Source organism: Homo sapiens, chromosome 11, assembly GCF_000001405.40.
Source record: "Homo sapiens chromosome 11, GRCh38.p14 Primary Assembly".
Classification (NCBI taxonomy): Eukaryota; Metazoa; Chordata; class Mammalia; order Primates; family Hominidae; genus Homo; species Homo sapiens.
The window spans coordinates 77,168,962-77,192,776 of record NC_000011.10 but is presented as its reverse complement, the minus strand read 5'-3'; the positions used below and the strand labels follow the sequence as shown (position 1 = coordinate 77,192,776).

The window sequence follows — 23,815 nt, the reverse complement described above, 5'->3', positions numbered from 1 at the left end:
TTTCCACCACCTCCTTTCTCATCCCTCCATCACAATCACCAACAGAACCATAGCTACCATTACCATTATCGAAAACAAAACAACCACATAACTCCTGTCCTCAGAAGGAGAAAAAAGAATACACATTTGCAAATTCTGATCTCAAGGAATGGCTGTATTTCTCATTTAATGCAGCGCTTACTAGATATACTCAGAATGGTGCAGCAGGTCCTGCGGCACGTCCTCTGTAGCACGCACAGTCACTACAGCAGTGTGGGGGCCTCCTCCACTGGTGGAATTCAGGACATCCTCAGAAGCCCTTGCTCCCGCCATCTCGCCTCTCCTCACGAGCCCCCTGAAGTAGGCGGTGTCCATCCAGGAGCCTGAAGAGTGCCTGGTTGCAGTCAGGCTCACCCCAGCCTGAGCTAATGATGGCTCACAGAGGAGCACTCAGCCCAAACGTGGAAAGCAGGAGGCTGTGAGCCAAGCCAGCCTGGCGGAAGATTCCCTCCCACTCACCTTCTCACACCTGTACTCCCCAAACTTGACTCCTCGCACCACCTGCTGGTAGATGAGGTTGGTGGCCACGTTGTCCTCGGAGGGGCTGTGCCAGGGCGTGAAGACCTCTTTGCGGAAGAAGAGCCTCCAGGGGGCGTTGCGCTCCTGGGCGCCCTGCTCCTTGGCGTACTGCTCGCACTGGGAGATGGCGTCCATGACGTGGTCACTGCCGCTGCCCAGGGAGGACACCTGTGGGCACAGAGGGGAGGGGAGCAGGCACAGAGTCAGGGAAGGACTATGAGGAGCCTCAACGGGGCCAACGGTCAGTTCAGACAGAAAACGGAGGCCCAGCGAGGGGCAGGGACACGTCCAAGGCCCCCAGGAGGCAGACCAGATTCTAGCCCTGGGCTCTAAGCCGCACCCCCACCATTGCCTTCCTAGCCTCAGTTCTGGGCACGGTGACGTGGGAATTCCCATTTTCTAGTGGAAGCTTTTTGGGAAACTGAACAGACAGTACCTGGAAACATAAGAGCATCGGTGAGAAAAATCCAGGCAAACTGTGTCCAGCAACACGGTACCTCCCCTGGGCTTGTGGGCGGGGGCCCCTCTGCTGAGCATGACGTTGCTGGGGGTGGAGGCAAAATCACCCAAGCCCCAGGTCCCGCTCAGCCGAGGAGGCTCCAGCCTCCGAGGTGAGTCTGCGGGACGCCCACACTCCAGCTGCTTCAGGGCAAGTGTGAAGGAACTCCTGTTTGCTGAGGAGTTTCTCCATCAGATGCCGTGGCAACCTGAGAGGGAATTCCATTCCCATCTGCACACAAGGGCTGCGCAGCCCTCCCATCAGCCTGTGCCATGCTCTTCCTTCAGCACCAGGAGAGGATTCACTGGGCCTGAGGACACAGGACTGAGGACATCCTACTGCTGGGTTTTCCCTCAGGTGCTGAAGAGCACTCAGCAGTTTTTTGTTTGTTTGTTTTTTTGAGATGGAGTCTCGCTCTGTCGCCCAGGCTGGAGTGCAGTGGTGCGATCTCAGCTCACCACAACCTCCACCTCCTGGGTTCAAGTGATTCTCCTACCTCAGCCTCCCGAGTAGCTGGGACTACAGGCGTGCGCCACCGTGCTCCACTAATTTTTGTATTTTTAGTAGAGACGAGGTTTCACTACATTAGCCAGGCTGGTCTCGAACTCCTGACTTTGTGATCTGCCCGCCTCAGCCTCCCAAAGTGCTGGGATTACAGGTGTGAACCACCGCACCTGGCCGAGTTCTCGGCAGTCCTGAGGAGTCAGGCAGAGCCAATTAGCACAGGCTCAGGGGGAAACCGAGGTGCTCAAGGGTGAATAGCCCCGGCAAGTAGGTGGCAGCACTGGCAGCCCGGAGTGGGGCCGGGAGGAGGTGCTTCCGGGAGGAGGTGCTTCCGGGCGGCCATACCTTGTCAAACAGGGCAATGTAGAGGGAGAACCCGAACCGGTCCTTGAGAGAGATCTTGTCGGCCAGCGCGTTGCAGAGCTCCTTGGCCGTGGTTGCCGAGTCCGTCAGCAGGGTCTTGGTGGTCCCATCCATGAATGTCACGGGCAACATGATTGGCTTCTTGGACTTGGTGGCCTGGAAGTGCCCCAAGAGGGTTTGTGGGGTCCCTTCCCTTCAGACCTGCCTGCCCCTCTGGACTTTGGCTCTCTGCTTTCTGTGGGGTTGGAGGTGCCCCAGCACCCCAGGCCCCAGTACCTCACTGGGACACTGCTTGTCCCTGTCACAGGTGTCCAGGGAGCCCTGCTGTGCACCCCACCCCAATGGGACCTTTAGGACCCCTGAGCCAGGGCCTGGGGCTGAGAGGTCAGGCACTGCCACAGGCCAGGGGTCTCTGCTATCACTTCATATAACCTTCACCATGTGGCAGGTAAAGGCATTGAGACACAGAGGGAATCTCCTTTGCCCAAGTCGTCTTGACCGTAAGGCCAGCAAATGGAGTCCCTCATCCTTTGGGGGCTTTTCTGTTCCGATGGGCCTGGGGTTCCAGAACTTGAGGGTAGGTGTCTGAGGAACCACAGAATCTCAAAGCAGGGAATGTTTCTGGGGCACTCGAGTGCACTGGACACACACACACACGCATTTACACACGTGCGCACACATGCACACGAGCACGTGCATACACACGCACGAACCTGCAGCTCCAGCCAGCTGGGCGGCTGTGTCCGTGTCCCATTGACAAAGGTCCTTCTCAGGCGCTCCTCACAGTACGGGGCGTAGCCGGGCGGGCCCCCGTGGATGAAGTTCCGCAGGTACTGCAGCCAGAGTACCCGCTGAGGCGGCCCCTGGGGCTCCCCATGTGGATTTTGAGGGCAGCCGCCAGGCCCTCCCGGCACTTGGAGGCCGCTCCTCCAGGCCAGGTTGCTTTCTGTGGCTTCCCTACCCTCTCAGCTCCACCATCTATTTCCAGCCACGTCTGTGGCCTCCCCCACCTCCCGCTAGCTTAGCCTAGTGGCTCCTCCCCATACCCCTTCACAGCACCAGCCAGTCGGGTCGGTCCTGCCATGACCTGCTCCACTCTGACCCCAGCGCCCAGGGCCTGCCCCAAGACGAGGGTGCAGAGGGCCTGGGACACGCTCCTGTCAGACTCAGCCCCCTCCTAAGTAGAATGGGGCTGAGGGGAGTGTGGGGAAAAGAGGTGGCTGCCTGAGAGGAGGGGGTGCCAGGAAGATGGGGCTCAGTAAGGAGTGGCCGGGTGGGCCTTGTGACCAGGCCCTTTGGAGCCCCTGGCTATTGCTCTCCCCACAGTGCTGGGACAGGGCCTAGCTCCCCTTCCCACTCCAGGAGGCCAGGCACCTTCCTACCTTGACAAACTTCTCGGAGGGGGCGAAACAGCCCACGCAGAGAGACACGAGAATCCAGCCCCGGGCATAGCTGCTCTTGGAGGGGTTGTGGGTCAGCTGCTTGCTGATCTGGCAGTAGATCTCGTCCCTGGGCAGGCAGCAGGGCAAGGGAGGGGGAATCACCCCACAGGAACAGCCCCGGTCCCCACCTCCTCCTAGCAGCCAGTGGGACGCCACACAGCTGTCCTCTCCAACTTGCCAAGACCACCCGGGAGGAGGCAGAGTGAGGCTGGGTGGCAGGGCTGAGCCAAGGGCTGGGGTCTGGCTTTGGAGACAGGATCATCGGGCATAAAGCACCTCCCCAACTCCAATCCAGTTCCCACAGCCAGGGCCCCACCATCCAGGGTGGTGCGTATCCTGCTCTGGGCTCAGCAGCCGCAGCCACAGCCACAGGTGACCATGCTAATGAGAAGCACAGTCCCCGCCTCTGCCTCGTTCCTAACCAGCTGGTGGCCCAGGCAGGTGAGTTCGCCTCTCTGATCCCAGCCCATAGTCACGGCAGCAGGTGCAACTTCTACCCATGGCAACGGACAAAGCGGAAACAGGAAAAGCATCCTGGGGTGTCACTGGGGGATGGAATGAGTAGGGACTTTGTCTCTGGTATATTTCTGTAATGTGTGAATACTTAAGGGGCCATGTATGACTTTTGTAATGGGATGAAAACAATTAAGGTAATTTTTTGGTGTTCATTTTAAAGGAATCCTTACAAGATTGCTGTGAAGATGAATGAGCCAAGGCTTATGACACACCTAGCACAGTGCCAGGCACAGTGAACCCCTCATAAATGCCAGCTGCAATTATTGCTGGGCTTGTTCTTCTCTTCTGCAAACTGAGTACTCTAAGACTGCAGCCTGCCTGTTCAAGGACAAGGGCAGGACACATGACGATGCAGTGTCCGCCAGGGGGCACTCACTGCTGCTCTTCTCTCCCAAAGGATGGCTGGGATTACCTAATTCAGTGGCTCAACAGTTTTGAGAGTTTATAATTTCAAAGAAAATTCTGAAGTTACCCATTTTTTTATCATGATAAATGAGAACATTTATAACACACACAACCTGCCCACTATCTAGATCCCAATTATCTCATAAAACAAAGGTAATTTTAAATTTCCAAACAGTAGGAGGGCAAAGTCTCAGAGCAGTCCTTTAAAGAAAACAAGTTTAGCTTCAGAAACATCCCTCCTTTTCCCACCTTGCCACAGACTAGTGAGATATTATCACCTGCAGCTGGGAGTCTCCACTCACTTTACAGATGGGGAGACAGAGGCTGAGAGCAGGGAGGGATTAGCCGTGTGAGGCCCCTCAAGGAGTTGACACCCCAGCCTTTGGACTCTTGGTTCAGGGCTCCTGGCACCGTGTTTCCTAGAAGTGTCAGCTTTAGGTATGATGGTGAGATAATTTGGAGGCAAATTCTTGCCCCTGAGACACGCCTGCAGCAGCTGCCTTTTCCTCCTGTTGGCAGGTGGCCCTGGGCAGTGTGGCCACCCCGGTGAGGTAGTGACTAGCCTTGGGGAGATAAAAACGGGGGCCTGATAGGAGGCAGGAGGCCTAGTGACCCCTGGGCAAATCTCTTCCCTACTCTGGACCTCAGTTTCCCCATCAGGAAAGTGGGGCTTGGTCCCTGCCTCATCCTGCTGTCCTCCCAACCAGCATGCACACATTCATGGCATCAGCTCTCCCGACAGACCTGTCCTATGCAGAGACTGTTCTCAGAAAAGTCCTAGCCCTCCTCTCATCAGCTGAGTTGATTTTTTGGTGGCTCCTGGTGACTCCTGGGTCTTCCCTTCAACTCCCCAAAACCCCAGGGACCTGGGTAAAGGCCTCTCCTGGCCCTGTGGGGAAGGAGGTACTTGCAGGATTCCCAGGCACAGTAACCTTAACCGTGGGCCTAGGGTGGGTGACTGGAGGTGAGCTGGCGGCAGCGGGGTTAAAGCAGGAAATGCATGTTGGATGATGATGATCAAAGCTACCATCTACGGGGCGCTTACTATGCTCCAGGTCTGGTGCTACACAGTTTTCATAGCTTTATCTTCCCACAAGCCTATGTATGAGGTAGCTACTGCAGGCACACCTCATTTTACTGTACTTCACTTTATTACACTTTGCAGACATTGCATTTTTTACAAATTGGTTTATGACGACTCTGCATGGAGCAAGTCTACCAGCACCATTTCTCCAACAGCATGTGCTCACTTCCCGTTTCTGTCACATTTTGGCAATACTAGAAATATCTCAAACTTTATTATTATATTTGCTGTGATCTGTGATCACTAATCTTTAACGTTACTATTGTAATTGTTTTGTGCACCATGAATCGTGCCCATAGAATATGGCAAACCTAACTGATAAATGTTAGATGTGTTCTGACTGCTCTACCAACCAGCCATTCCCCCATCTCACTCCCTCTCCTCACGCCTCCTGATTCCCTGAGACACATTCATATTGAAATTAGGCCAATTAATAACCCTAAAATGGCCTCTAAGTGTTCAAGTGAAAGGAAGCGTCGCACATTTTTCACTTTTAATCAAAAGCTAGAAATGATTAGAGAGGAAAGCATGTTGAAAGCCGAGATAGACCAAAAGCTGGGCCTCTTGTGCAAAGCAGTTAACCAACTTGTGAATGCAAAGGAATAGTTCCTGAAGGACATCAAAAATGCTACTCCAGTGAACATGCAAATGATAGGAAAGTGAAACAGCCTTATTTGCTGATATGGAGAAAATTTTAGGGGTCTGAATAGATCAAACCAGCCACAACATTCCCTTAAGCCAAAGCCTAATCTAGAGGAAGACTGTCTCTTCAATTCTATGAAGGCTGAGAGAGGTAAGGAAGTTGCAGAAGGTAAGTTGGAGGCTCACAGAGATCGCCTCATGAGGTTCAAAGCAAGAAGCTGTCTCCAAAATATAAAAGTGCAAGGTGAAGCAACAAGTGCTGGTGGAGAAGCTGCAACAAGTTTTCCAGAAGGTCTAGCTAGAATCATTGATGAAGGTGATTACACTCAACAGCAGATTTTCCATGTAGATGAACCAGCCTTCTATTGGAAGAAGATGTCATCTAGGACTTTCATAGCTAGAGAGAAGTCAATGGCTGGCTTCAAGGCTTCAAAAGACAGGCTGACTCTCCTGTCAGGAGCTAATGCACTGCTGACTTTCAATTGAAGCCAATGCTCAGTGACCATTCCAAAAATTCTGGGGCTCTTAAAAATTATGTACAAGAGGCTGGCTGCAGGGGCTTACACCTGGAATCCCAGCATTTTGGGAGGCTGAGGTGGGTGGATCACAGGGTCAGGAGTTCAAGACCAGCCTGGCAACATGGTGAAACCCCGTCTCTACTAAAAATACAAAAATTAGCTGGATGTGGTGGTGGGCACCTGTAGTCCCAGCCACTCGGGAGGCTGAGGCAGGAGAATTGCTTGAACCCGGGAGGCAGAGGTTGCAGTGAGCTGAGATGGCGCCACTGCACTCCAGCCTGGGCAACAGAGTGAGACTCTGTCTCCAAAAAAAAAAAAAAAAATGATGTACAAGGAGACGAATGTTATTTTCATGCCTGCTAATGCAACATCCATTCTGCAACCTATGGATCAAGGAGTAATTTTGGCTTTCAAGTCTTATTTAAGAAATACATTTTATAAGACTATTGCTGCCATAGATAGTGATTCCTCTGGTGGATCTGGGCAAAATCAATGGAAAAGCTTCTGGAAAGTATTCACTATTCTCAGTGCCATTCAGAACATTCATGATTCGTAGAAGGAGGTCAAATTATTAACATCAATAGGAGTTTAGAAGAAGTGGATTCCAAACTTCATGAATGACTGAGGGGCTCAAGACTTCAAGAGGAAGTAACTGCAGATGTGGTGGAAATAAATAGCAAGAGAACTAGAATGAGAAGTGGGGCCTGAGGATGGAACTGAGTTGCTGCAATGTCATGATCAAATTTCAGTGGATGAGGAGTTGCCTCTTATGGAGGAGCAAAGAAAGTGGTTTCTTGAGATGGAATCTATTGGTGAAGATGCTGTGAACATTGTTGAAATGACAACAAAGGATTTAGAATATTGCATCAACTTAATTGATAAAGCAGCAGCAGGGTTTGAGAGGATCGACTCCAATTTTGAAAGAAGTTCTACTGTGGGTAAAATGCTGTCAAACAGCATTGCATGCTACAGAGAAATTTTGTGTGAAAGCAAATCTCACTGTTGTCTTATCTTAATAAATTGTCGCAGCCACCTCGACCTTCAGCAACCACCACTCTGATCAGTCAGCAGCCATCAACATCAAGGCAAGACCCTCCAGCAAATAGATACAACTTTCAGATGACCATTAGCATTTTTGGCATTAATTTCTAATCAAGATGTCTACATTTTTTAGACATAATGCTATTTCATACTTCATAGACTATAGTATAGTATAAATATGACTTTTATATGCACTGGGAAACCAAAATATTTCTGCAGCTCTCTTTATTGTGATATTTATTTCTGTGGCCTTCAACTGAACCTGCAATATCTCCAAGGGATGCCTGTTTTAGGATTCCCCCTTTACAGACAAGGAATCAGAGGCTTAGAAAGATGAAATAACTCCACCAAGGTCCTAACTCCACCAACTAGCTAGCAGCGAAGCCAAACCCAGGCCTGCTTGGCTTAATCTCTTGCTAGGTTGACAGAGGCACCACTCAGCCACCAAAAGACTTTCAGGCCCTGGTGTCCCCGCCTCCCGGCACTGACCGGAGTGCTGGCCGCAGGATGCCATTGCCGATGATGAAGTGCAGCTTCTCCAGGTTGGAGGTGGGCCGGTCCTCCAGCATGCTGTTGCCCTGCACTGTGGACTCCCCGTCATGCAGCCTCTTGGTCACCTGGGCCAGAGGGAGAGGACAGGGCAGGTAAAGTTAGGGGTGTTCCCCTGCCAGCCAGGGCACCAGCACCCGAGGCTGCCTGCTCCCCAGAAAACAGAATCTAAGGAGTGAGCAGAAGAACTGGGCTCCCCATCACTGTCATTACCCCTGCCACGTGCACAGCAGATGCTGGGCCAATAACTGGCCCACACAGCAGGGGCACACTGGCCCGGTGCCACCCACTTCTGGGGACAGAGCTCCTCTGGCCACCTCCTCGATACCCTGCACCCCACACCCCACCCCAGGGAGGTCCTCTCAGCCAGGACAGGGACATGATCCTCTGACTCCAAGCGGGACCCCTATCTCTCTGGGGTGCCCCCGCCAACATAACTGTGGCACCTGGAGTATACTCCAGGTTCCAACCACCAGTCACCACCACTCTGTCACCAACACCCTTAGCCCCGATGTGACCAGCCTCACACCAGTTCTTATGAGATGTTTCTCCTCTCTCATCCCACACAGCCCACAGCACAAGCCCCGAGCTCTGCCCAGAGGATGTAGGGTGAGTGAGAGGCGAGCGGCAGGAGTGGGTGGTGCAGACAGGGAGCACCACTGAACACCCTCGGCTGCCATTTCTGCCTTCTTCCCAGGACCCCACGGAGTGGGCATTTTCTTCCCTGGGTCCCTTGAATACTAAGCGGCAGAGGTGGGATTCAAATCTGAGGCCACACACCTGCAAGGCTGGATTTGTGCCTCAGGTGGGGACAGGACAAGGGCAGAGGTGAAGTGGGAGCCCCTGACTCTGCAGTGGAGGAGCTGGGGAGGCTTCCTGGAGGAGGTGACCCCAGGCAGAGAAAGGAGGAGTTTCAGGCAGAGGGACTGGCATGTGCAAATGTGGGGATGGGGGCCTGGCCCCCAAGGCTGTGAATGCCTTGGTTTGTGTCTGCCTCTCCAGTGTATCCTCCCCTGCCACACACACACCAGCCTGGACAACCCCAGAGCACAAGGGCTGGGACAGTGCCCAGAAAAGGCAAAGTGACTGAAGAATGAATTCAAATAAATTAATCCTGTTCATGCTCCATGAGCACTCTTGTTCCACAGAAAGCTCCCATGCCTCAAAGGTCCTTGGACCAAGTGCCTCGGGTCTGTGCCCGGCTAGAAGTGTATTCCCTCTCAGCTGTGCCGCTACCGGCCTCCCCTGCTCAGTGCCCTCTGCTAGGAAGCCCTTCCCACCCCCGGCCTGAGATCCCACCCTCTTCAGACACTCCTGTCTGCCTGATCGCCCACCAACCCACTCATGTTGTCCTGTCCCTGGCCAGCCAAGACCCCTGAGGACAGACAGTGTCCACTCCTGCTCCTGCTTCCGTGGGCCCCCAGCTCAGCTGTGCTCCAGCCTAGGCCACCTAAGGCAGCCACCCCTGGGCTGCCAGACCCCCAGCGTCTGCCCTCACCTCCTCTGTGAGCTTGGACTTCTTTTTCAGAGTCAAATGCACCAGCTTGTGCCTCACACTGCTCTTCTTCTGGCCCTCGGGGAGCTGGGCCTGCAGGACCAGCAGGGATCAGGGTCAAGTGGCTGAGCAGAAAGCAATGTCGAGACCCCCGACAGCAAGACTTTGCGGGGAACCGTCTCGCTTCCACGTGAAGCTTACAGGGTGTCCCCCACACTGCCACCGTCCACCTGCTCACCCCTACCCTTGCACCCCCACTAGCCAACTGGCAGTCAGGAAAACTGAGACTCAGAAAAACATAGTACGGGAGCTGGCTCCAACTGCAAAGCCCCTGTCTGCTCTGCCATGAGGCCCCTCAGTTATGGTCAGCACTTTACAGTTTATAAAAGTTGCACACATTTGTTCCCACAAGTAGACAAAGGAGGGTGGCAGGCAGGGGTCGGTGAGGCAGAGATGAATTATAGGATCCTTTTTCTGCAGAGGAGCCCAAGGCTGGTGATGCCAGCGGCCCTCCTTGTCGGCCTGGGAGGGACATCATCCAGAGGGCACCTTGGCCTCACCTCGCCCTCGCCCTGCAGGGCCTGCAGCTCCCTCTTGTACGTCTTCTTGCCCAGGGTCTCATAAATCTTGGTCATCACAGGGATCTTCTCACTGCCATCACTCATGGCTGTGTGGTACTTGGGCTCAGGGAGGTCCCCCATGAAGCGGAGGATGGTGATCCAGACCGCCAGGGCTGCCTGGGGCAGAGCGCGCATGTCAGAGGCCAGAGCGGAGGACATTGCTAAAGCTGTCAAAATGACCTGGCGGTTTGGGGAGTGGGCTGGAGACACCCCCTCCCGCATGGTCAGCCCTCAGGCTGGGCACCGCAGTGAAGACTATAGTCAGACCTGGTCCCTGGCCCCCAGGGACCCACCACCCTCATCACCTACGGCCACCACCAGCAGCAGAGTCCATAGCCCCAGCCCTGGCCCCACCCAGCAGTGACCTAGTGACAGGCAGGCCTTACCAGCTGGTCACCCTCGTCGTCATGGTAGAGCAGTGGCTGTTTGAGTGGCCGCCGGGTGTAGGAGTGCGTGGTTGTCCCCTGGAAGTAGGTGGCCGCGAACTTGGCAAATTTATACTCAGAGAGGTCCTCCTCATCCTCGTCAGGCAGGGGCAGGGCTGCATCCAGGTCCTCCTCCACCATCTCCCTCCGCCCTCGCTCCAGGTCCTGAAGGAGACAAGAGGTATGCCCTGGAGTCCCAGCTACTCAGGAAGCTCAGGTGGGAGGATCGCCTGAGCCCAGAAGTTCAAGGCTGCAGTGAGCTGTGATCACGCTACTGCACTCCAGCCTGAGCAACAGGGTACGACCCCATCTCAAAAAAAAAAAAAAAAAAAAAAACAAAAAAAAAAACTTGAGAAGGGCGTTGGAGAGGGACAGGACCTGGGACCTGCAGCCCGGACCCAGTTCATCTCTGCTCCCCACTGTTCAGAGGGACTGGGTGGGCTTTAAGGCCAAGGGCACAGAAGGAGGGAGGATCAACACAAGCGGTGTGTGTGGGCCTCTGGAGCCCCTGTCCCTAGCCTGGTACCTCAAAGCCACTAGGTGCCTGGCCCTCCTGGCCTGGCAGGCCACCTGAAGTCCCCAGGAAGCCAAACATCTTGTCCACCATGTCTGAGTGATTGACAGGCTCATGGCGGGCCCTTTCCATCTGCTCCAGGAGCTCCTTCTTCCGCCGAGCGGCCTCCTTCTCCTTCAGCTCCCGCTCAGCGTCCTCACGAGCCAGCTGGGCCAGGCGCTCCTGGGCAATTGGGGTGACACAGAAGACACGGGGTCAGCCCCCGGTGCCACAGCCTCAGGGAACAAGCTCTCCCTGGGGAGCCCCTGCAGCAGCCAGGGCCTCAGTCCCCACCTCCTGACCGCTGGGAAGAATGGAGCCTCTGACTTCCCCACCTCTGGACCACTCAGAGGCCTCTCAACAAGCCAAATAACAATCCTGCCCGTCCTTCAGGGCTCTCAGGGAGCCACCTCCTCCAGGAGCCTGCTCCATGGGGACCACACCAACCCAGACATCCCACGGCCATTGGCTTGAGGCTCTAGACCAGTGTTGCCCAATAGGAATACAATGTGAGCCACCCATATAGTAGCCACGTTTTAAAAAGCAAAAAGGAATAGGTGGGATTAGTCTTAGCAGTATATTTAACTCAATATTTCCCAAATATTAACTTAGCATGTAATCCATATTATAAAAATAATACTGAGATATTTTATATTCATTTTTCCCCCACCAAATCTTCAAAATCTAGTATTTCACACTTAAAGCACTGTGTCATTCGGACAGGCCACACTGCAAGTGTTCAGTTGCCACTGTGGCTGGTGGCTCTCTATTGGGCAGTGTAGCACCCTCGTGCCGTCAGCTGGCTTGTGCTTTTACCAGGGTGTTATCTCAACAACTAGAAAGGGGCTGCTGAGGGCCTGGGCCTCTTCCTCTGGAGCCACCACAGCCCTTCATCCTTTTGCATGGCACAGGACCAGGTGCCCAGCGAGAGCTCAGGCAATGCTGGCTGAGTGGGTCTAGTGTGGCCATTCTGAAGGATGGAAGGAAGGCTGCAGCACCGGGTGACAGATGAGAAGCCAGCCTCGGGGAGGGGACAAGCCAGCAAGTGGACACCTAAGGTGCCTGGAGGCTCTCAGCTCACCTGATGCTTGCGCTCGGCCTCCTCCTTGGCCTTCTTGGCGCTCATCTCCTTCCGAAGCTTCTCTTCCTCCGCCAGCCGCATTTTCTCAGCCTCGAGGCGCCACAGATACTGAGGGAAGGGGGCATCCAGAGGGCATGGAAATGTGTGTAGCTGTTGTTGCAGGGATTCCCACCAGCTCCACCCACCCAACTCTGAGTTCTGGAACTGGGCATGACTTTGATAGGACAAGTGAGGTAATCAAGAAATTCTCTAGGTCACCCAGCGGGCTGGAGGCACCACTGATCCTAAAGCCCGGCCAGATCTGCGTCGGTCTCCCAGAGATTCCCAAGAGTGACTGAGGTCCCAGCCCTGCCCTTGGCTGAGAGGATGGAAATGAGGGTCTGGTCCCAGGTATGTGCACTCCTCAGAGCAGGCATAACTGCAGGTCCCCCCTATAGGTCCCACTTCCTGGCCAACACCTGAGGGTGATGCATGGACACTCCTCGCCCAGGGGTCAGAGCTGTGGGTGCTATGGACTTGCTCCCTCACCTCAGCCCTGAGGCGTTGGTGCAGCCTGCGGGCGATCATGCCCCGGGCATAGGCCTGCACGGTGAGCACAGCCCAGAGGCGGTGGCGGAAGGCCTTGCGCACCAGATAGGCGCGGCAGCGGGCCTGGAACTGGATGATGCGCTGGCGGGCCAGGCGGTACTGCTGGTGCAGCTTCCGGGAGCGGTGCAGGGCCTGCAGCCGCAGGAAGCCCAGACGCATCTGCAAGGACAGCCACCCCATGCTCAGAGCCTGCTGTCCCATTCCAGACTGACCCTGCCTGCAGGAGCTTCCATGGCACCGGCCTCCACTCTCAGACAGGCACCCCCAGAAGGCGTGGCCCAGTCTCCTCTCAGATTAGTGCCCCCCCATCGTTAGAAAGTTCTGTTTCCTCTCAGGCAACATATTTTTAGGTGACCTTGACTCTCCCTGAGTTGGGGCCCCCAAGAGAATCCTAGATCAGGAGCTGCAACCAACCAGTCTGCTTCCCATCCAGCCCCAACAAGTCCTAAGCCCAGCTGCTGCACAGAGGTCCATGTGACCCAGCCACTCTCACCCTGTCTGAGATCTCTAATAATCCCAGAGTGCTCCCAACCCCCAAAAACACTCCAGAAGGAGAGCAACAAACATTGCTGGCCAGTTGGAAGAAGCCACAAGAGCCAGATCCAGACTTCGGTCTGGAGGAATGGTAGTGGCTGGCCAGGGCAGTGGCAGGAGGCCAACGAGGCCAGGCTGTGCTGCCTGGGTGCAGGCCAGTCCCACTGCCATGGCAGCAAGGCTGGGTTCAAAGGCCTGTTTGGGCAAGAGCAGCCCATGGGGAGGCTCACCAGCCCGTAGTTCTTCCTACAGTTGTGACCCCGCCAGTGCCTCTGGATCAGTGTGGCAGCGTTCTTCAGCTTCAGAAAGTTAGACCTGAAACAGCAGTAGTGGCGCGGGTGAGCAGTGTCCAGAGGCAGCCAGGGTACAGGTGGGTTTGGGATCAGGAGGGCACGCTGAGTCCCAGCTCTGTGACTTCCTAGCTATATGACCTTGGGCAAGGCACATAACTTCTGTGCCTCAGCTTCCTCATCCGTACAATGTGTAGAATAATGCCTGCCCTGCCTGCCCCACAGGCCTGTCACATAAGCCCATGAAGGTAGACATTCAAAAGGTATTTGTTGAATGAATAAATGTATGAAAAAATAAGTAATTAAAATAATATAAAGATCAAAAGCTTTGAACAGTCTAACTTCCTCAGTTTATACATGAGGCAACTGAGACTTGATAGGTTGGGACTAGAGCCCATGTCTTCTGACTGACCCTAAGTGAGCCCAGTGCTGTTCCCCCTGCACACAGCAGGCTGCTTCTATAGGAGAACAGTCATCTTCAGCCTGATAGAGGACAGAGACCATGCACAGACAGCAGGGGTCTGCTGAATGTAGAAATAAATAAAGGAAGAGCGAAGGATGGGTGTGCAAGTATGCAAGTGAGCCAATAAGTCAATGCTTGGAGACACACATAAGCAAATGAGCAACTGTGGGAGTGGGTGGGTGAATGGATGAATGGAGGAATGAATGGGTAGGTGGATGGGTGGGTGGACTGATGAGTGAATGGATGGGTGGGTGGGTGGATGGATGGATGGTGGATGGGTTGGTGGGTGAATTGATGGATGAATGTGTGGGTGGATAGGTGGATGGATGAGTGACTAGGTGGGTGTGTGGGCGGGTGGATGGATGGATGGATGGATGGGTGAATAGGTGGGCAGATGGATGGATGGATGGATGGGTAGGTGGGTGGGTGAACGGACGGATGGATAGGTAGGTGGGTGGACGAGTGGAAGAAGGGAGAGAGTGACCATATGAACTGCAAAGGGGTGCATTGTGGAATTTTTGCAGAGCTTTAATCACACTTTGGAGTCAGTCCTGCACATTTGTGAATTGTCACGTGTACACATATCCCTTAGATAGAATATGAGACACATTTTGTATTAATAATTTATAAAATCTCAAATTTCCTCTTTGCAAAATTTCATCAGCATCTGACATGAACAGTGGGTCCACATGTGAGTCTCATGTATCTACGTGTGCATGTGCATATGTAGGTGAATGTATTGCATTATTTGGCTTACGTGGCACAATGGGTCCATGTAAATCATGTATCTATGTTCCTCTGTGTTTACATGATCATGTGTGCATGCCATGCATGTGTGCACTTGTTTCATAGGTGAACACGTTTTTTTCCTAGTGTTCATGCGGGCAGAGCAGAGGAGAGCCAAACACCACACGTACACCTGTATGTGGGCTGAGGAGGGGAGGAGCTGGTGGGAACACGCACCTGTCTTTGAATCCCCGGATGACTTTCTGAAGGAGGATGACTCTGTCGGTGATGGCTTTGTCCCGCTCCACTTCCAGCAGCATGTCATGGTGGTCCTAGGAGGCAGAGCTCCTGAGCAGCGCCCCACAAGGTCTCCTCTAGGACCACCTGCTCAGTCCCAGTGGGGGCTGCTCTTCCTTCACTGGGAGCACAGGTCAAGAACTCAGTTGGGCCCCATGAGCTCCCAGCTGGCTCTGGCCCCTGGGGCAGCCTCCCACAGCCACCAGGACAGACAGGGGTTGTGGCTGTTTCCCAGAGGTCCAGGCAGGACAAATGGAGCAGAAGGTGCCTAATCTCTCTGGATGGGGTCGGAAGGCCCAGTATGCACACACACCAGCTTCTTCCCTATCGTCAATCTGCCCAAGCCCCCTGCTTCTAGACGTCCCTGTCACATCAGTCCCTCACCTGGGCTGGGCTGTTGCCATTCTTCTCCCGAACCTTGGCAGCAGCCTCCTAACTAAAGGTCTCGCGGCCTCCTGGCTCCCTCTCTGGCGCTCCTTCACAAGCAGCCAGAGGGACCCTCCTCAACACAACCTGGATGGTGACCCTACAGTGACACCTCATGGTTCCCCACGTCGAGCCTGGGTTCCTCACCCTGGCATTCAAGGCCACCCATGATCCAGGGTGTCTGCCAACTTTTTCAGCCCTCTCTCCTCCTCATCCAAGACCCCAACCCTCACTGTAGTTGGACAAAACTTCATTGGTTCACTTAATATATATGAATTGAACACCTCCATGTGCTGGCACTGTGCTAGATGCTGGGGAGGGGAGGGGCTGCCACAATGAACCAGGGAGACATGGCCCCTGCCCTTGGGGAGGGTAGAGTCTCATGAGGGAGCCAAATCCATCAGATAATCACAGACACACAGGGCCCTGACAGAGGAGATGCTCAGCCGAGGCATTCTGAATGAATGAATGGATGAATGAGCATGTTTGGCCTCTCAAAACCAAGGCCATATCGGAAGAGCCTAGCAGTGTAAGTCAGGGGCTGATGGAGCTCCTCCGAGTTCCCTGGTACTAGATGCCATCATGATTCCTGCCTTCCCCACTTTGCCCACACAGGGGCTGGGCATCAGACCTTCCCAGACTAGAAGTCCTGCTCCCTGCTTCCTAGCTGCCTGGTTTCAGGCAACTCACTTCTCTCTGAGCCTGTGAAATGGGTATAATATTTCCTTCTCCACAGGACTGTTTCAAGGATTAAATGAGCTCATGGATGAAAAGCACCCACCCAGGGCCTGGCACATGGAATGTGCTTTCTGGCTGACAGCTGTGGGAGGCACAGGCAGGGAACATTCATCACATCTTGCTGATGAGGAAATGCAGGTGCAAGGAGAGAAAGGGCCTAGCCTGAAGCCCCTTGGCTGGAGAGGAATTAGAAGAGGCCGCAGGCTCCCTCCAGTTCGGAGCTGGTTCTTGTCCCTCCTGCAGCTGTCCTTGGAGTGCCCAGGCCCCACCCCCCACACCAGAGGAAGGAGCCCTGTCATCCGGGACAGCCAGAAATCTAGCACAGCGGAAATGCAAATGGGGAAGCCCAGCACTGGGAGCTCGCACTGTCCCTGCTGCGGCTGCCCTGCCACTGCCAGCTCCCAGCCATGTCTCCAAGGCTGTGACTCCGCGACTCCCGCAGGCCTTGCTTCCTGCTTCCTTCCCCAGCTGCCCAGGCAGCAATGGGAGCTGAGCTCCCTACAGAGTGACGGACAGGTGGCATGCTGCGGACCCCAGCACGGGATGGGCCCTGCCAGGCAGGAAACCACAGGAAGGAACCTAAAGATACACTCAAGAGACCCCACACAGGCACACCCCAATTTACAGATGGGAAAATGAGGCTCAGAAAGGGCCCCAAGGCAAGCAGCACCCCTGCCTCCCTGCTGTGGGCCTAACAGCCAGCCCGCCCCTGGCATGTGCTTTGTAACCTGTGGTCAGTGCTCTGACCCCACTCCCAGGTTGTAGATGATCTCAAACACCAAATTACCCTTCCCCACCAGAGAGGCCAGATCCCACCTGCTCCTCCAGCCACACCACAGCCCGGCAGAAAGGATCTCAAAGCCCCAGCACTGCCTCCCTCTCCCGAGCACCCCAGCCCACATCATGGGAATTTACAGCCCCCCCAGGGCAGCCCAGGGAAGGCATCTGTGCTCACCTTCAGAAAGATCTTGGTTTTGCCTATCTGCCAGTCATCGTGGGTGCCCAGCACAGCCTCAGCCATGCGCTGGCAAGTCCCGCGGAGGTCGCCCTGGAGTGAGGATGGGGAACACAAGGGAATGGACAGCCTCTCCAGTGGGAAGGCCTCCGGAGTGTCCCCGAGGCTGAGAGGCAGGGCTCTTCCCGAGCTCTGCCCCTGACTCGAAGTGTGACCTCAGCTGGGTCCTGCCTTCTCTGAGCCCCAGTTTTCTCCTTAGCTCAGCTGGATGGTATGATTGCAAAACCCTTTCTCACAACTGACATCCAGGGCCCGCGTGGCAGCCCTGGTCTTGTTCCTTACACCACCATGTGTGAAGTCCTCACCAGCTGAACATGGCAACTGAAGCCCACTGATGCATTCCAATACCTGAACCCCAATTTTCCGTGCTGCACCTGAGAGGTCAAGCAGATGTCAAGCCCCGCCCATGGTCCTGATAAGAAAATTGGGACCCTTGCCCAGCCAAAGCTGGGACCCTCCCCTCCTGCCCTCTGTGCACTCAGCCCTGTACCTGCTTGTAGGCCGGCTTCACACCTGGCAGCAGCACACGGTACCGCTCCACAAACTCTACGAAGCTGTAGCGGATGGGGTAGCCAGCTCGGCGGATTCGGATGGTCTCCATCATTCCTGAGTACCGCAGCTGGCGCACGCACAGGTGCCGGTCGAACAGCTGCCAGGCACACAGCCAAGGGCATCAGGGCCAAGGCTCCTGCTGGGAGGCAGCCCTGCTGTGCACTTGACCAACCCAGACAAAGGCTCAGAAAGGCCAAGTCCACACGGCATGGGAGGAGCAAAGCTGGGACAGGCACCGGGATCTGCAGCTCAAATCCACAAAAGAGCATAAAGTGAGGCCTGTCGTGGTGGAGCTGTGTGCTTTGGGAGCACAGAGAAGACAGATTAATTCCCCTTGGGACACCCAAGTGGGGAGCTTCATGGAGGAGGCGTCTTTATCACCCTAACCCTGACAGGAGGGGGAGTATTCCAAGGCTGGAGGGGGTGAGCCTGTGCAAAGGTTTGGAAGCCTGAAAGCGCAGGACTTTGCTGGGAATCTTGAGGGAGCTAGAGAGGCTCGTCCAGGCCAAGTTATGGCTGTGCAGGTGAGGGGTGCTCTGCACAGCCCCAGGGAGGACCTTTCACGTTGCAGGTATTGTAGATCTGCGGTTATTCAGACAACTTTCTAGCTGCCTTAAGGAAGAGGCACATTTTTCAAAGGGCCCTGGGGTTTGGTTGGTGGAGGGGCTGGGGAGAAAGAGTAGAAGGCAGGTGCTGGGCTGTGAGGCTGTGGGGCTCTGTGAGGGCCTCATCCATGGATGCTGGAAGCCAGGGAAGTTTTAGAGCAGGGAGAGACTGGGCCAGGTCTGCATTTGAGAACAATGTCACTGGGGGCCAGGGGAGGCAGGACAGGAGGCAAGGGAGGCAGGAGACCCTTGAGGAGGCTATTGCCAAGGCCCAGTCCACAGATGCTGAGGACTGGGCCGAGGGAAGGGTCCCACTTCAGAGCCAGGGAAGACTGTGCCCGACTGCCCTGGTGTCAGTCCCCTGCACCCCCTGCATTAGAGGGAGAGCTCACTGGAGCCCTCTGCGACCCTCAGGCCCCTGCAGACCTGAGTCCTAAAGGGGACAGGCCTCATCCACTCTGGGACATGTTTTCCAGGCAGGAGGCAGCAGGAGGGGACGGTCTTGCAGCCTGTCAGCTTCCGGAGACTGTTTCCTCTCTCTCCGGGCCACTTTCCCCGGCCTTCCTTCCCTCCCCAGATCCCGAGGCCCCAGCTTCCCCCTGTGCCTCCCTGCAGGCCTCTGGGTAAACAACCCTCCCAGAGCCTGTGCTGCGAAAGGAGAGGGCTCGCAGCGAGGTGGCCCCAGCCTGAGCCCCTTAACCTCCCTGAGCCCCCAGTCCCGCATCTCTAACCTGGGACCAGCACAGTCCCTTTCTCACGGGCTGTTTGAGAAGGTTGAAGGAGGCTGTGGACTGACCATCCAGCCTATGCTGGGCACACAGAAAGGGCCCAACAAATGTTATTCAGAAAAGTCAAGAATGAGGATATCCCAACCAGCTGAAGAGATGGGGGAGGCTTCCAGGAGGAGGTGGTGGTTGAGCTGGGCCAAAGGAGAAGGGGACTTTCAAAGAAGCAGCCCCAGCAAGAACCACAGCTGCCAATCACTGGGCACTTGCTGGGTGTGGGCATCTGCAAGCATTACTGCATGGAATAGCCTTAGGAGGTAGATACGGTCAGTCCCGTTTCCATCTATGAGGAAACTGAGGCATAAGAGAAGAAACTGCTTTGTCTGCAGTCGCCCACTTGTACATGGTAGAGGCAGGATCTGAACCTGCTGCAACCCCCCGCAGAGTCTAGGCTCTTTCCAAGGCACCTGCTGCCTCCAATAAATAGGGGGCCTTGTTTTGTAAGCTCCCGGGGTGCCCCCCATTCCCCAAAGGGACAAAGTCTCACATCCTTCACTCCCACCCTACCTTATTCTTGACCTAGCTCCTCCACGTCACCCTAGCCGCCACCCGCCAACCCCAGGCCAGGGCCACTCACCATGGGCTTCTTGAACTCATTGGGCTTGATGCATCGCACAAAGAAGGGCTGGCAGGCACCCAGCGTGCGCATCAGCAGCTCCAGTGACCGCTTGAACTGGCTGCTAAGTGTGGGCGAGCGCTTCCTGGTCTCGGCGCCCTGGGGGGACGGACGGCAGCGATGGGAGGGGCTGTGCCTGCCCCATCCAGTGTCCCAGGAGCCGCCCAGTAGGAAGCGGGAGGGGAGGTCAGCGGGGTCAGGGTTTGAGGGACAGGGCGGTATTTGAAGTTTTCCTGCAAACTGCCTCTCCCCACCTTCTGAGCTGGAGCCTGGACTCCAGATACCTCCTCCAGGAAGCCTCCCAGGACTTCCAAAGTTACCACCTCTGGGCGAGGGGGAAGTGAACCCTACAGGAAGATCTCCGCACTGGGAGTCTCAAGCCTGCCCCTGCACCTGGTGCGCTGGATAACTCTGAGCAAGGGGCAGCCCCTGAGTCTCATCCCTCCCTTCCCTGTATAAAGGAGTAATCGGACTTGGTCACCTCAGGACACTGAGGTCATCTCTAGAGACAGGGGTTAGACGAACCTAGATTCAAGCCCTGGCCCACCACTTCCTAGCTGTGTGCCCTTGGGCAGGTCACTAAATGTTGCAGAGCCTCAGTTTCCTAAGTGGAGGTGATGCCATCTATCCATCTGACCAGGCTGTGACAAGGGTCAGAGGTCAGGGCATATTTCAGTAAACAGCAACCTAGAAAGGTGGTGCCGCCTTCTGGAAACCTGTGGGCAAGCGCGAGGAGGAGGGGCGGGAGCTGCCGGTGACCTCTCCCCTCCCAGGCTTAGCCGGCAGCAGCAGGCTGGGGGCGGGGCAGGCCTGGCTAATCCTCCTAAGAAGGCACACAAGCAGCCTCCTCCTAACCCCCCGCACTGTGGCTCCGACGCAGCCAGGGGTTCTGTGCTCCACCAGCCACACCTGGGCGATCCTGGCAGCCAGCGAGCCCCCTGCGCCTCCCTGCCCTACTGGGGTCCCCTCTGAGAATACTGTGAAATGAGGTGGGGGAAGCCCTGAGCCGCAAACAAACAGGAAGCCAAATGGCAGGACTGATGGGAACTGGACACAGAGCTTAGGTTTTGTTCCAAAGCATCTTGATTAGTGTTTTCCTGGCAATTTTCATTTGGTTGAGAATTTCTTATTTTACTTGACTTCATTTGATTAATATTGCAAGATTTTTATATTTTTAGAGTCATCATTTCATCTGATATCCTGTAGCATCAAAAACCAGGGGTGTAGATGTAGATATGTGAGGTATTTGGGGGGACAAAGGTGTTGTGCTCATACTCAATTTAGGTACTATGCCACCAGACTGTGATGAGGCCTTCCGAGAAAGAGCCAGTGCCTGCGATTCTGAAATCTGCAATGCTTTCCAACTGCATTGTATTTGGAATATATTCTAGGACTTTGCCCAGAGAAGCTGGGGAGTATTTGCAATGCGGTAGGGTGGTGGTCAGATCTGTGGCCCCTGGCGTTGTCCTCAATTTGATCCAGCAGCAGCACCGGGTGACCCCGGTCACTGGAGGGGAGCTGTCCAAGTTGGGCTGTACCCAGCCTGCATTAGGGCCCCTGACATGAGTACACGCATACGCATGCACACACACACACACACAACACACACACAACCTCAGCATGCACATACACACGCCACTAGGAGCACACGCATACCACCGCGTGTACACACACGCGCACGCACACCCTTCTTTGGTCTTGGTCATCACAATAAAACGACTGCTTTCTGCCCGTCCTCCCTGCTGGGCTGGGAGCCCCATGAGGACAGGATGCGTCTGCCTCTTTATTGCTGCATGGCCAGGGCCTACATGACACAAGTAACAGTCAACACTTTGATCTACTGAAGTGCTGTTGAACTGGTTCCTAGTGACATCCATGGGTTCACAGAAATTGCCCACCTTCCCGTTGCTCCAGCCAAACATCTAGCAACTGTCCTCAGTGCCTCTTCTGTCACATCTAATATATCCGCAAATCCTACAGGCTCTACTTTCAAAATATCTCCAGAACCTGACCCCTCACCACTTCCTCCACCGTCAGCCTGGTCCCAGCCACCAGCATTGCTCTCAAATTCCTGCAGCAACCCCCCAACTCGTCTCTTTGCTTCCATCCCCCACATTCCAGGCCAACCTCCCCTGGGACTGGGGAGTTAGTGAAGAGGAAAGAGTGGGACAGCCGAGAGCCACACCTGTCTCACCAGCGTGGCCACCCTACAGCACAGGGCCTTCAGACAGGGACTCTTCTGGGTGCTGGAGCTTTGAGTGCCTGGGACCCTTACACTCTCAACACAGCAGTCCAAGTGAGGAACAAAATCACATCCTTTCCCCACCCAGAACCCTCCACCGCCTCCTTGATTCACTCGCATGAAGGCACAGGTCCTTGTAGGGACCCACAGTGCCCCAAAGGAGCTAGTCCCAGGGGCCTCTGGTCTTTGTAACACCTGTTCCCTCCCCTCCAGCCCCTCCAGCCTCCTTGCCCTGCCTGAGGTGCACCTGGGATGCAGGCATAGGCTTGCAAAGCACCTCAGGGCATCTGTGCTTGCTGTCCCCTCTCCCTGCAAAGCCCTTCCTCTGGAATGTGGCTGGGCACATTCTTCCTCACCTCCTGCTCAGCTTCTCAGGCAGGCCTTTCCTGACCGCACCCACCACACCACTGAAAATCACAGAGTCCCACCGCCGCATTCCTCCCTCCTTAATCTTTCCCCATACTACATCTCACCATCTGATACACTGCAGGTTTTACTTATTTATTGGCTTTCTATCTATTTACTATTATTTTTGAAGCAAGGTCTCACTCTGTCGCCCAGGCTGGAGCACAGTGGTACGATCTTGGCTCATTGCAGCCTCGACCTCCCAGACTCGGCCTCCTGTCTCAGCCTCCTGAATAGCTGGGACTACAGGTGTGTACCACTGTGCCTAGCTAATTTTTATATTTTTTGTAGAGATGGGATTTTGCCATTTTGCCAAGGCTGGTCTTGAACTCCTGAGCTCAAGCAATCTGCCCACCTCGGCCTCCCAAAGTTTTGGAATTACAGGTGTGAGCCACTTCACCTGGCCTTGGCTTTCTAACTATCCACTCTTCTGCTGGAACTTAAGTTCCATAAGGACAGAGACTTTTTCTGTTTTATTCACTGCTACGTCCCCAAGACCCATGACAATGCCTGGCATATAGTAGGTACTCAATAAAGGTTTGTAGGTAGCCATCTGGGTTTCTGATTTGGTTTTATTTCATTGGGGGGAAAGGCTGTCCTTCCTGGTATTTGCTGTTTTCTGGGATAATCTGCAGATGGGGATGGGGTAAAGGTGGAAGTGAAAAGTTCAAAGGCCAATGTCAAATGCTCCCCAGAAAGGATCTGAGAGGAAGACCCCAGAGCGTGACATGAAAGGGGCTGGGAAGTCTCAGGCAGGAGGCCACCTGCATAGAGTGAATAGGTGTCTCTTGGGCTCAGGGCCCCAGGACATATGACTGGGCTTAGGCATTAATCAGGGGCTACTCAATATCCTAGAAGAGCTGCCTTTATCACAGCTGGGCTGGGCCCTTCACCAGCAAGGGCTGTGGTGGGGCTGCCCACGGCTGCCCCAGGGAGGCAGATGTAGGAGTCAAAGGCTGAAAACTCAGGGCTCGGGGATCTGCCGATGATGGGAGTGCAGATCACTCACTGCAAGAGGTGGCGTGGGCTTCCATCCTGATGGGAGCATTGCCACACTAGTACACTGTCATTGAATAAACTGTGACTTAATGTCTCACAATTAACCAAGCTGATTTTCATCTTCCTTTTAAAAAGCCATCGTGTTTCTAGCAGTTACGAAGTATGTTTTCTTTCCTAAGATGTGACGTTTATGGAGACAGCACAGTAAATTTTTAAAAATTAAAATTATTTTTTAAAAA

The 23,815-nt window shown here is 54.7% G+C and overlaps 1 protein-coding gene across 24 annotated transcripts in view, besides 3 other annotated features; it reads right to left on the bottom strand.

The window, feature by feature from the left end:
- The window catches only part of MYO7A (myosin VIIA), an 86,996-nt gene that overhangs the window by 22,465 nt on the left and 40,716 nt on the right, over nucleotides 1-23,815 (bottom strand). For 15 of the 24 annotated variants that reach the window (XR_001747888.2, NM_001369365.1, NM_000260.4 and 12 more), the window contains 16 exons: nucleotides 19,892-20,029; nucleotides 17,863-18,021; nucleotides 17,313-17,405; nucleotides 15,134-15,228; nucleotides 13,648-13,732; nucleotides 12,824-13,042; nucleotides 12,296-12,403; nucleotides 11,188-11,397; nucleotides 10,623-10,826; nucleotides 10,177-10,353; nucleotides 9,620-9,709; nucleotides 8,062-8,189; nucleotides 3,307-3,433; nucleotides 2,638-2,757; nucleotides 1,907-2,080; nucleotides 499-726 (listed from right to left, as the gene is read on the bottom strand). Coding sequence is in view for 22 of the 24 variants with exons in the window: in NM_001369365.1 (NP_001356294.1) it covers nucleotides 499-726; nucleotides 1,907-2,080; nucleotides 2,638-2,757; nucleotides 3,307-3,433; nucleotides 8,062-8,189; nucleotides 9,620-9,709; nucleotides 10,177-10,353; nucleotides 10,623-10,826; nucleotides 11,188-11,397; nucleotides 12,296-12,403; nucleotides 12,824-13,042; nucleotides 13,648-13,732; nucleotides 15,134-15,228; nucleotides 17,313-17,405; nucleotides 17,863-18,021; nucleotides 19,892-20,029 (2,355 nt within the window). In the remaining 2 variants the exon portion in view is untranslated. Of the gene's footprint in view, nucleotides 1-181; nucleotides 363-498; nucleotides 727-994; nucleotides 1,103-1,906; nucleotides 2,081-2,637; nucleotides 2,758-3,306; nucleotides 3,434-8,061; nucleotides 8,190-9,619; nucleotides 9,710-10,176; nucleotides 10,354-10,622; nucleotides 10,827-11,187; nucleotides 11,398-12,295; nucleotides 12,404-12,823; nucleotides 13,043-13,647; nucleotides 13,733-15,133; nucleotides 15,229-17,312; nucleotides 17,406-17,862; nucleotides 18,022-19,891; nucleotides 20,030-23,815 lie in introns of all 24 variants that reach the window. The other 9 variants (XM_047426971.1, XM_017017778.2, XM_017017779.2 and 6 more) reach the window with 3 other exon arrangements.
- Nucleotides 534-1,033: an enhancer, noted in NCBI's record as "H3K4me1 hESC enhancer chr11:76902789-76903288 (GRCh37/hg19 assembly coordinates)". NCBI's record gives its function as "activates a minimal SCP1, AML or CMV promoter by ChIP-STARR-seq in primed H9 embryonic stem cells {active_cell/tissue: H9 hESC(primed)}" and the evidence as "EXISTENCE:reporter gene assay evidence [ECO:0000049][PMID:30033119]".
- Nucleotides 1,034-1,535: an enhancer, noted in NCBI's record as "H3K4me1 hESC enhancer chr11:76902287-76902788 (GRCh37/hg19 assembly coordinates)". NCBI's record gives its function as "activates a minimal SCP1, AML or CMV promoter by ChIP-STARR-seq in primed H9 embryonic stem cells {active_cell/tissue: H9 hESC(primed)}" and the evidence as "EXISTENCE:reporter gene assay evidence [ECO:0000049][PMID:30033119]".
- Nucleotides 9,664-10,164: an enhancer, noted in NCBI's record as "H3K27ac hESC enhancer chr11:76893658-76894158 (GRCh37/hg19 assembly coordinates)". NCBI's record gives its function as "activates a minimal SCP1, AML or CMV promoter by ChIP-STARR-seq in naive H9 embryonic stem cells {active_cell/tissue: H9 hESC(naive)}" and the evidence as "EXISTENCE:reporter gene assay evidence [ECO:0000049][PMID:30033119]".